Below are 12,393 nucleotides of genomic sequence, written 5' to 3'. Positions count from 1 at the left end.
GAATCAATTAGATGAAGAGAGGAGAGAGATAAAGAGCAGAAGAGTGGGGAGAGGAAAAGTGGGAGAGGGAGAGGGGAGGAGTTGGGGGAGAGGAAAATGGAGAGAGAGATATTTATTCTAAGGGATTGGCTCACATAATTATGAGGGCTGCTAAGTCCCAAATCTGCAGGTCTGGCAGGTGGGCTGGAAGTTGTTGATGTTGCAGCCCAGAGTCCAAAAACAGCCTGGAGATAGAATTCCTGCTTCCTGGGGGCCTCAATCGTTTCTCTAAAGGCCTTCCACTGACTGGATGAGGCCCACTCACATGATGGGGGGTAATCTGCTCCACTGATTTAAATGTTAATCTCATTCCAAAATATCTTCTCAGCAGCGTCTAGACTGTTGGTTGACCAGACATTTGGGCACCGCAGCCTAGCTGAGTTGACATAAAGTTAGCCATCACCAGGGCCTGCAGATCCAGTAACAGGCTTGAAAGGAGCAGATACTCTCTGATTGCAACGCATTTGTGCTGCAGTTACCTGGATCCCCTCACCTAGGGTTTACTGTGATTTTTGTCTTAATTTCTCTGTCATAGGAACAGCACAATTATATGTGCACTATATTCTTAACTTTAAAAGACTTAATTTGTTAAATATAAACTTTAGGATTTTAAGGAGACCCAACAAAAATCACTTCTCTCCTCCACCTGACTTCTAGACATCAATTAAGAAATAAGTCTGTACACAAATGCCAAAAGTTTACCTATATTACTAAATAAGCTTATTTTAGAGAATGCAGCATACATTTGCAGACAAGTGATCTTCCTAATACTCTACTGATTTAGGCTAACTTCCCCTCCCAGTCACTGGCAGCTCTTGACCTAAGCCTTCCCTAGCAGGAGGAGGAAGGAGCAACCCTTCTAGACCATGGAGTAGAAGATCACAGAGAAATGCCTGGAGAGCAGAAGAGGAGCTGTCCAAGCCCAGCTCCTTCAAGCTCAACAAGATGGTAAATCATGCCACTTGTTATGCTAATGTGATTTCTTCTTCCACATAAGTGAAGGCATCAAGGATGGGGTTGGGGTATTTCCTCTAAACATAAAATATTCCACTCTTTTTATAATCCTGTTTTGACTGCTTCTCCCCCCCTTCTCTTCTTTCTCCTCCTCATCTTCCTCCTCGTCCTCCTCATCTTCCTCCTCCTCCTCCTTATCTTCCTCTTCCTCCTTGTTCTCCTCTTCCTCCTTGTCTTCCTCCTCCCTCCTTGTCCTTCTCCTCCTGCTCCTTGTCTTCCTCCTCCTCCTTATCTTCCTCCTCCCTCCTTGTCCTTCTCCTCCTGCCCCTTGTCTTCCTCCTCCTCATCTTTCTCCTCCTCCTTATCTTCCTCCTCCTGCTTATCTTCTTCCTCCTCCTCCTCATCTTCCTCCTCCTCCTCTTCCTCCTCTTCCTTCTCTTCCTCCTCATCTTCCTCCTCCTCCTTGTCTTCCTTCTCCCTCCTTGTCCTTCTCCTCCTGCTCCTTGTCTTCCTCCTCCTCCTCCTCCTCGTCTTCTTCCTCCTCCTTCTCCTTGTCTTCTTCCTCCTCCTCATCTTCCTCCTCCTCCTTGTCTTCTTCCTCCTCCTTCTCCTTGTCTTCCTCCTCATCCTCCTTGTCTTCCTCCTCCTCCTCATCTTCTTCCTTCTCCTCCTCATCTTCCTCCTCCTCTTCTTCCTCCTCCTCTTCCTCCTCCTCCTCTTCCTCCTCCTCCTCTTCCTCCTCTTCCTCCTCCTCTTCCTCCTCCTCTTCCTTCTCCTCATATTGCTCCTCCTCCTCCTTGTCTTCCTCCTCCTCCTCCCTTATGAGAAGCTTCAGAAACAGAAATGTGCAGGGCCTCCCTGGCCAAGCTAAATGTTCTGGGCAGTCCAAGAGCAAGAGTGAAGCATGGAAGTGGTGCATTGTCCCAAGCTTGGTGTTAACCTGAGCCATGTGGTGGAACATCAGAGAAATGAAATGACTGACCTTGAAGCCCAGAGGGGGACGAGAGACTGGAGAGACCAGCATTCTCTGTGAGATTGAACAATAAAGTTAATAGGTGTGAGGAAGCGGGAGGGAAGGGGAGAAATTAGCTTCACTGAGCATCAGCTGTGTTGCTAGGTGCTTTCAGTCATATGCAGCCCACCTTACAATCCTGCAAAATACTATGTCACAGACAAAGAATATAAGGCTCAGAAATATAATTTACCTGAGGTCACACAGCCAGCAAGTGGCAGAGCCAACTTTTAAACCCAGATCTCTGCTTCTAAAACTTGCCCCCATTTCCCCATTAGATTAGCTGCTTCCAGGGACATAAGAAAGGTAGAAAATGGAAGGTTACAGAGCAAAGGGGATTATAATGCTTAAGTTTTCAGAGCTGGAGCACTTCCCACTGAAGACAAAGTCAAGGATGTGGTCATGGGGGTGGGTTGCTGAACTGGATGGAAGTCAAGATCTTTGGAGTAGAGAAGGGCAAGAACATATAGGGCTCATGTTGGATGGGCCATCAGCATCGACTGTGATGGTTTACTAGGCGGGGCTGAATAGAGGTGAGTATGCATGCAAGGTAGAAACCCCTGAACAGATGCTGTGGGGAGAACTAGAGATTGGAGGACATGGAATGATGGGCACAGACCCCACAGCTTGGTGATGGTAGCCATGGAACTATTGTAAATGAACAATCCCAAAGCGACTGCAGAATTCTGAGTTTTTCCTCTTTTTCCTGATTTTCTCAGCAAAGCATATGTTGCCATTTCACTGTCATCTTCTTACACTTCACTGCAGAAGAACTACATAATTTGAAAGATTATTTAAATTATTTTTCTGGTAAAGAAAAAAACTGTTTCTAACTTTTTGTATCATAAGGGATTTTTTTCAAGTATGGTTTTAAGAATTAGACAATTCTACTCTTAAGAGATGGGAACTGAGACCTTAATTCTCATAATTTGTAGTGACGAAGCTCTGTATGAGCCTTTATTACACATGGTAAAGACTTTCATGAATATGCCCAGGTGTCAGAAGTTGTTACTAGACTAACAAAGTAACTAGTAGTTGTAGTTACTTACACAGTAACTAGACAGTGCATGATTTATGCTCTAATGTTAAAAATAGTATTGTATCATGTGTTCAATAGATTCTGGCTAGGTCCCACATTGTATCTCTTACAGGGACTAATTTTACACAAAAACTGATTTTTTAAAAATGCTTCCATGTCTAACAGTCCTGATGGTAAACTCCAAATCATGGCTGGTTTGTTTGACACACCAGGAGTGCTAATTTATTTATTATATACACCAAGAGGAATATAAAGTTCGGTGGTTCGAATTAGATAATTTAGTGTCCCAAGATTGTTTATTTGATTGCCTTAGGCAGGACTTAAGGGTAACTAGAAAATTTGTACAGCTTACTCTGTGTATGTACAGTATGGAGGTCTGTTGCTTCCACCCTCTCCTTTTGCACACCTTTTGAGCAGTTTAGTACGTATTGCAATTTCTGCAGGAAGGTGGCCATGGTGAAGGCCTTGGGGAAATCCCTGCACCTTGAAAAGAATTTGGGATGTGGCTCTGTAGTAAGATGGACTTGCGGTTCAATCCCAGCTCAGGGCCTTTTTAAATTATTAGTAGTAGTAGTAGTCGGGAGACCTTGAGCAACATGCTTTATCTTGTATCTCAGTAACCCTTCCTGAAAGGATGAAATTATCCTTAAAAGATGAGTAAAGGAGATTGAAAATAATTTAGTTATTTAAAGTATTTTCAGGCCCTGCATGGTGGCACATGCCTGTAATCCCAACGCTTTGGTAGGCCAAGGCAGGAGGACTGCTTGGAGCCAGGAGTTTGAGACCAGCCTGGACAACAAGGTGAGACCCTGTCTCTATGGAAAAAATAATAATAATTAGCTGGTGTAGTGGTATGTACTTGTAGTTTCAGCTGCATGGGAGGCTGAGGCAGGAGGATGGCTTGAGGCCAGGAGTTCAAGCTATAATTGCACCACTGCACTCCAGCCTGAGCAACAGAGCAAGACCCTGACTCAATTGAAAAAAAAATTCAGTGATTTTCATATACATTATCTAATCTGAACCACTGATCTTCATATTCTCCTTAGTGTATATAATAAGTAATAAGCATTCCTGGTGTGTCAAACAAGCAGCAATGATTTGGGGTTCACCATCAGGACTATTAGGCATGGAAACCTTTAGAAAAAAATTATTAGTTTTTATTTAAAATTAGTCCCTGTAAGAGATACCATGTAGGACCTAGCCAGAATCTCTTGAACACAAGATAAAATGTGATACTTCATGTGTATAATACATCCAGATTTCTGGAGTTAGAAATACCAAAAATGCATATAGGCAGTTTTCATCCATAATGGAACGTAAACAATAGCCTAAATAAGTGAATATTTGCAGTTGCATCATGTAACCTTTTAACATTGCTGTGCAAATAGCTATTCATTTTTCAGCAGGTAAAACTGTACCACACAAGCAGAAAAGAAGGCCTGGTTAAGTTTATATTTTCTAAGAGAAGCCTTGCTAAAACAAAACAACCATACGTTTTAAGGTATCGCTTGATCAGCGACCTTTCTAAATAGATAGGGCAATATAAGTCACAATTTGCTTAGGATGCTTTGGGCCACTAATAATAACAGACTCAGAAATGGTCTAATACATTTCTAATAAATGAGCAAAATGCATTCACAGCCGGGCACGGTGGCTCATGCCTGTAATCCCAGCATTTTGGGTAGCCAAGGCAGGCAGATCATTTGAGATCAGGAGTTTGAGACCAGCTTGGCCAACACGGTGAAACCCCATCTCTACTAAAGTGAAAAAAAAAAAATGAGCCAGGTGTGGTGCCATGTGCCTGTAACCCCAGCTACTCAGGAAGCTGAGGCAGGAGAACTGCTTGAACCCAGGAGGCAGAGGTTGCAGTGAGCTGAGATCATGCCACTGCACTCCAGCCTGGGCGACACAGTAAGACTGTCTCAAAAATAAAATAAATAAAATAAAATAAAATAACGCATTCACTTATGAAGTACAGAGATAGGGCTGTTCCAGGATTCACTAATTTGGCAACTTAACAACAGAAGCATTACCTCCTTTCAGTTCTGCCTTCTCAGATCGACTCCCCTTGTGCTCACAAGGTGGCTGCCAATAATCTGGGTATCACATGTAGTTATGACTTCATGAAGTCAGAGAAGATGCTGTTTCTTCCCATGCATCCCTTTATCAGCAGACACATATAATAGTAGTCTCCCAGTAAACTTCCCTTTCTCTCTCACTGGCCAGAATTGCCTTGTGTGCTCATTTCTGGCAGGGGATGGAATCACCATGCTGTGCTTATACCAGTCAAGGTTGACCCACTGGGGCTAGGGAGGGGTCTAACCTTCCTTGATGCACACAGCCACCAGATATCTGAATAAAAATGGGGTTCTGTTAGCAAGAAAGAAAGGAGAGTGGCCAACGGCTAGGCCATTGATAGTAACTACCACAGTAGCCAAGATACTTTGAAAGCATTGTTGTGATGTCTTTGATAACCCTTTTCAAGTTTATTTAAAGTCTGAAAGACTTTATATAACTGGCTTTACACTGAGAATTTCAGATAGCCTGGCCCACCACTGAGACCTATGCCCCTTTGCTCCAGTTACTTAATTTCTTGAATTCTGTTTCCATAAAATGTGGAAAGTCATAAAATCCCATAGAGGTTTCATGAGGATGAAACAAGACCATTCGTGGAAAGTGCTTAACTGAATGGCTTGCATATAATAAATGCTCAGTTAATGTTGTTATTCATTCTTCACTCTTTCTAAATGTCCTCCTGTGGCCAGTGGCCAACCCAAGGTCCAAGACTGAAAATCTGAGCCACAGGCCCGAGTCTTGTCTCTCTGTTGCCCTCACTCACATTCACGTTACCATCCTGTCCTCCCCCAGGTCTTATCCCACAGCCACAGGTCTAGACAGAGCCTTTAATTATGAGGTCGCCTCATGCAGGTATCTCCCTTCATATCCTCCATTCCCCCTACACATATGCCTAGGAGAGGGATCCTTAGAGAGTATTTATCCCTGCTCTGCTGATTGTTTGCAGTTAGATCAGTGGGTTTCCTCCACTCTTCCTGGGAGCCTAGGGATCTGAGTTCATGCTTAAGTAAGCCAAGCCGCATGGACCTCTTCCATATTTCATCCAAAGCAACACACTGCTCTATACTGTATATATTAGGGCTTTGCATTCGATTCTTGTGAAAAAGGAGTTCTGCTCCTTGTGGAAAGTGTGAAAAGCAATGGATTGGATGATGTCTCCAGTGGGGTATCAGGAACCTTCCAGAACCTCTCTCTGCTTTGCAAACTGTCTCCTATCTCATGCAAACTCCAAATGGCCTGAAGTCCCTCCCAAGTTGGCGCCTCCTTCTCTGTACTGTGCTTCTTTGACAGCCCAGCCTCCAAGAAATGCTTTCTGGGCCCCTGATGACAGGTGTCACACACACCAGCTACCTTGTTTCTAATGTCAACTGCTCCCTAGGCAATTGTCACCCTTCAAAGCTGTGCCCAACTCTTCATTACTCTGCAGAATTGTCACTATTCCATACTTATTGATAAACCCCTGCATTCAAACTCTATTTTCCACAGAGTACAAATTATTTTCAGCTGATCTGTATTCCAGAAGTTCTCACTGTGTGGTCCAGGGACCCCGGGGGTTCCTAAAAAACTATCCAGGGAGTCTGTGAGTCAAAACTGTTTTCACTCCCCTCCACTCCCCTCCCCTCCCTTTCCCTTCCCTTCCCTTCCCTTCCCTTCCTTTCCCTCTTTCTTTCTTTTCTTTCTACAGAGTCTTACACTGTTGCCCAGGCTGGCACCATCATAGCCTACGGTAACCTGGAGCTCATGGGTTCAAGCCAGCCTTGGCTTCCCAAAGTACTGGGATTACAGGTGCACAGCACCACACCTGGCCACAATTTCTTAAATTGAGACAAGTATGAATTTTGCCACATGGATTGATTCTTCCTTTTATGAAAGGTTTCTCTGTAGCATGCAAGGCTGTTTGATGGCATTTTACCCACAGTAGGACTTCTTTCAAAATTGGTGTCAGTTGTCTCATACCCTGCTGCTGCTTTGTCACTAAATTTATGTCATATTCTAAAACCTTTGTTATCGTTTCAGCAATGATCACAGCATCTTCCCTAGGAGTAGATTTCATCTCAAGAAACCACTTTATTTGCTCATTTATAAGAAACAACTCCACATCTGTTAACGTTTTCTCATGAGCTTGCAGGAATTCAGTCACATCTTCAGGCTCCACTTCTAATTCTAGTTCTCTTGCTATTTCCACTACATCTGCAATTACTTCCTCCACTGTTGTCTTGATGTCTTGAGCCCCTGAAAGTCGTTTATGAGGGTCAGAATCACCTTCCTCCAAACTCCTATTAATGTTGATAATTTTTACCTCCTCTCATGAATCATAAATGTTCTTAATGGCATCTAAATGGTGAATCTTTTCCAGAATATTTTCAGTTTACTTTGCCCAGATCCATCAGAGGAATCACATAATCTATGGCTGTTATCACGTTATGAAATGGATTTCTTAAATAATAAGACGCAAAAGTCAAAATTACTACTGATTTATGGGCTACAGAATGGATGTTATGTTAGCAGACATGAAAACAACATTAATCTCTCATCTGTATATCTCCATCAGCACTCCTGGGTGACTAGGTGCATTGTCAATGAGCAGTAATATTTTGAAAGGAATCTTTTTTTCTGAGTAGTAGGTCTCAACAGGTAGCTTAAAATATTCAGTAAACCATGCTGTAAGTAGATGTGCTTTTATCCAGGCTTCGTTTTTCATTGACAGAGCACAGGCAGAGTAGATTTAGCATAATTCTTCAGAGTCCTACAATTTTCAGAGTTATAAATGAGCACTGGCTTCCACTTAAAGTCACCAGCTGCCTTAGCCCCTAATAAGAGAGTCAGCCTGTCACTTGAAGCCAGGCAGTGACTTCTCTCTAGCTATGAAAGTCCTGGATGGTATCTGCTTCTAATAGAAAGCTGTTTTATCTGCATTGAAAATCTGTTTAGTGTAACCACCTTTACTGAAGAAATAGATCTTAGCTAGATCTTCTGGATAACTTGCTGCAGCTTCTCCATCAGCACTTGCTCCTTTACCTTGCACTTTCATGTTACGGAGATGGTTTCTTTCCTTAAACCTCATGAACCAACAACCTCTGCTAGCTTCAAACTTTTCTTCTACAGCTACCTCACCCCTCTCAGCCTTCATAGAATTGAAGACAGTTAGGGCCCTGCTTTGGATTAGGCTTTGGCTTAAGGGAATGTTGTGGCTGGTTTGATCTTCCATCCGGACCACTCAAACTTTCTCCATATCAGCAATAAGGCTGTTTTGCTTTCTTGTTATTTGTGTGTTCACTGGAGTAGCACTTTTAGTTTTCTTCAAAATCTTTTCCTTTGCATTCACAACTTAGAAAACTTGTGCAAAAGGCTTAGCTTTCTACCTAGTTCGACCATCAACATGCCTTCCTCACTAAGCTTCATCATTTCTAGTTTTTTATTTAGACATGCGACTCTTCCTTTTACTTGAACACTTAGAGACCATTGTAGGGTTATTAGTTGGCCTAATTTCAATATTGTTGTGTTTCAGAGAATAGGAGGCCTGAGGAGAGGGAGGGAGACTGAGGAACAGCTGGTTGGTGGAGCAGTCGGAACACATGCAACGCTTATTGATTAAGTTCACTGTCTTATATGGGTGCAGTTCATGGCACCTCAAAACAATTGCAATAGTAATATCAAGTCATTGATCACAGATCACCATTACAGATATAATAATAATAAAAAGTTTGAAGAATTATGAGAATTACCAAAACACGACACAAAGATACAAAGTGAGCACATGCTGTTGGGAAAATGGTGCTGATTGATTTGCTAGATATAGTGTTGCCACAGACCTTTAATTTGTAAAAAATGCAGTATCTTTGAATTGCTATAAAGCGAAATACAATAAAACAATTGAATTGTATTGAAGAGACTGCTTGTTTTGTTTTGTTTTTTAAGAGACAGCATCTTCCTCTGTGGCCCAGGCTGGAGTGCAGAGGCCCAATCCTAGCTCACTGCAGCCTTGAACTCCTGGGTTCAAGCCTGCCAGGTAGCTAGGACTATAGGAATGCACCACCATGCCCAGCTAATCTGCTTTGTTTTGTTTTGTTTTAACAGAGACAAGGTCTCACTATGTTGCCCAAGCATACCTGTACTTTTTAAGTTCGACTATAATTAATCATATTTGGGAGATTTAAAAATTACTACCAGGGAAAATCTGTCCAAAGGGTGCTTATTATTCTCATTTTGCCAATTTTGTCTTTTTTAAAATTAGATGTGTCACACAGAGTAATTCAATAAAATACGATACTTTGAATAATAATTGCAAAATATATAATTAATTCTCTGACTTGGACCATTAAACTGAATGAAATCCCATTTTTGCTTTCTTGGTATTGTACCTGGTCTTTTCCTAGTTAGATAATTCTTTATTAGTGTGCACACCATTTACCAGACTCTGTCAAAGTTAAAACTAAAAGAAAACTAGAGATCACTGAGTTGAAACCTCTCATTAAAAAATGAACAGAGGCCCCTGCATGTTAATTAACTTGTTTAAAGTCACTCATTAAATAGTTGAACAAAAACTTCTGACTCTAGAATGTATTGCAATGCTTTAGTCAAACACTGAATTCTTTGTACAGGTAGAGAATTCCATTTGGATGGTAACTTTAGGCCTTAAGTATATTACCAATATGGTTAGATAATGATCTTACCATAATTGAAAATGTGTTTGTTAAAAGGCATTAGTTGCCAAAAGTATGCCGGTGGCCAAAATGTACAAGGAATGTACCTTCCCAACAGATAGAGGTCCTGGCTACACAGGTGGGGCAGTTAGGGGTCCAGTTAAGTTCACTTTTCTCTTTGGCTCCCAAAAGCAACCTCCAGCCTGGTATCGGGGGGCAGCATCAGACCAGGGCAAGGGTGGCCTGGAATGCTCATGAGGCGTCACCCAAAGTCAGAAGCAGGACACACCTAGAAGGAGGGCTCCTTGCAATCTAGACCTGCCTGCCACCCCCACAGTCCCTCAGCTCACTCCCACACTCCAGCAGGACTACGTGCTCCTCCTACAGGGAGCTGCCGTCTCTCTGCCTCCCAGTCTTATACATGCCGTTATCCATGCCTGCAACACCTTCCTTTCGTATCCCTTTTTCTCCTGATCTGGTTAACTCCTGCCAATTTTCAGCACTCAGTTTATACTTCACCTACTCTAGGAACCCTTTCTTGCCTCAGCCTCCATCATCACACCCTACACAGCCAGTGTGGTCGGGAGCCCCCTCCTAGGTACTCAAAAAACACCCTGTGAATACCTGTCTCAGCACTTCTCATATTCCTCTTGCACTAAAATGAAAGCCCCTTAAAGGCAGGGACTGTGTCTCATTTGTCATGATACCTCCTGGACCCAGCTCAATGCCTGACACATAGTAATCTCCTCATAAATAGTTGTTGAATGAATGACTGAAAGATCTAATGAATAGGAAACCCCCTAACTTAGCACTAACAAAAATGTAATGCAAATTACATATGTAGATTTAAATTTTCTAGTGATCACATAAAAAAGGTTAAAAGAAACAGATGAAATTAATTTTATTAATACATTTTGTTTAACCCAATACATCACAAAATTATTTTCAACATGTAGTCAATATAAAACATTGTTAGTGAGATATTTTACCTTTTATTCCCCCAATCTTCAAAATCCAGTCTGTATTTTATACGTGCAGCACATCTCAATTTGTCTTGCCACATTTCATGGCCAGTGGCTACTCTATTGGATAACACAGGTGGATCCACGCCAAGAAATATCTGTTCCGGGTATTGCCAGCACACTTGATGAGCCCTCAAAGCCCTCACTCCAATCCCAATATTGCCTCAGAACCCTGGTCTTTCATATAAGAAATGACTTCAAATACACAAAACCTTCTGGGCTGGCACCAAACCCAACTGGATTCTGGAAAATACAAAGACAGGCCACTATATGGATTTATTTCTTGATCTGTGGACTGATGTTAACTTGAGGATGCAAAACAACAGACCCAACTCAAAATCAAGAAATGCCTGACATTCATTTACAGGGAAGCTGGGTGGCTGTCCTGTGCTTAAGAAAACAGCTACCATTACTGAGAGTGTCATAATCTTCCTCCAGCGTCCTTAGGAGCCACTTTTGTATTTTGACAGATGGAGAAAGAAGTTGGACAACTTTTCTTAAACAGAAAGGATATTTTTAAATTTCCTAAAACACCTGTTAATATATGTCATCAAAACGATAGCTGAAATAACTCATTAGTGACCTCATTGTATTTTTGTTGTGCTAAAGATTTAGATGATAGCAGCATCAGATGAAATAAACTTTTATCCACTTTAATGGAACTTATATATGGCCAAGTGCTTTTGAATTCCTATAAGGTGAAACAGAGTACATCAGAGAGTACCATTTGCATAGAATAATGTCACACATGAAGCCAGATTACATTTGTTAGATGATTTGGTAGTTTTAGTAGCTGTCATAGTAAGTCCTATTACCCACATCTCTGAATAAAAGCTCATGCTCACTTTTACTCTTTTCTTTTCTTTTTCTTTTTTTTTTTTTTTTTTTTTTTTGAGACAAAGTCTTGCTCTGTCACCCAGATTGGCGTGCAATTATGCGATCTCAGCTTACTGCAACCTTCGCCTCCTGGGTTCAAGTGATTCTCCTGCCTCAGCCTCCTGAGTAGCTGGGATTACAGGCGCCCGCCACCACATCCAGCTAATTTTTGTATTTTTAGTAGAGACAGGGTTTCACCATGTTGTCCAGACTGGTCTTGAACTCCTGACCTCAGGTGATCCACCTGCTTTGGCCTCCCAAAGTGCTGGAATTACAGATGTGAGCCACTGCACCTGGCCTACTTTTGCTCTCTTTTATCTCCATCATATTTTTTTTAAATTACCATCTATCTACTATTAAACATTACGGAAATATATAACTTAAAAGTGAAAATTCCCTGTAATGTTTTTTGTTTATATTCTTTCAGATTTTTCTATGTATACTTATTTTTTCTCTAAATTGAATTCATAAGTTCATATTTCAATATTAATTTTATTTGTAAAAGTTACACTTCTCAAAGGCAACCACTACTATCAGTTTCTTCTGTATTTTTCTAAAGATAGTCTATGCAAAGAACTCCATATAAATCCTTTTAAAAAAAAAAACCAAATGGTGTTATTCTATACATGCTCATTCTACTTTTTCATACTTAACGTATGTTGGAGATCCTTCCACATCTATACATGAAAAGCTGCCTCTTTCTTTTCTAGAGGTGCATGGTATCTTGCAGGC

At 41.5% G+C, this 12,393-nt stretch overlaps 1 protein-coding gene and 1 non-coding gene across 3 annotated transcripts in view; both read left to right on the top strand.

Moving 5' to 3' along the window:
- The window catches only part of KCTD1 (potassium channel tetramerization domain containing 1), a 202,564-nt gene that overhangs the window by 62,402 nt on the left and 127,769 nt on the right, over positions 1 to 12,393 (top strand). The window lies entirely within an intron of this gene.
- MIR8057 (microRNA 8057) lies at positions 3,537 to 3,605 on the top strand. Its single transcript, NR_107024.1, has one exon. It is a non-coding gene; the product is annotated as a microRNA 8057 (primary transcript).

The sequence above is a fragment of the Homo sapiens genome, chromosome 18, assembly GCF_000001405.40.
Source record: "Homo sapiens chromosome 18, GRCh38.p14 Primary Assembly".
NCBI lineage: Eukaryota > Metazoa > Chordata > Mammalia > Primates > Hominidae > Homo > Homo sapiens.
The sequence above is the reverse complement of the archived record's forward strand: the minus strand, read 5'-3'. Positions and strand labels throughout refer to the sequence as shown.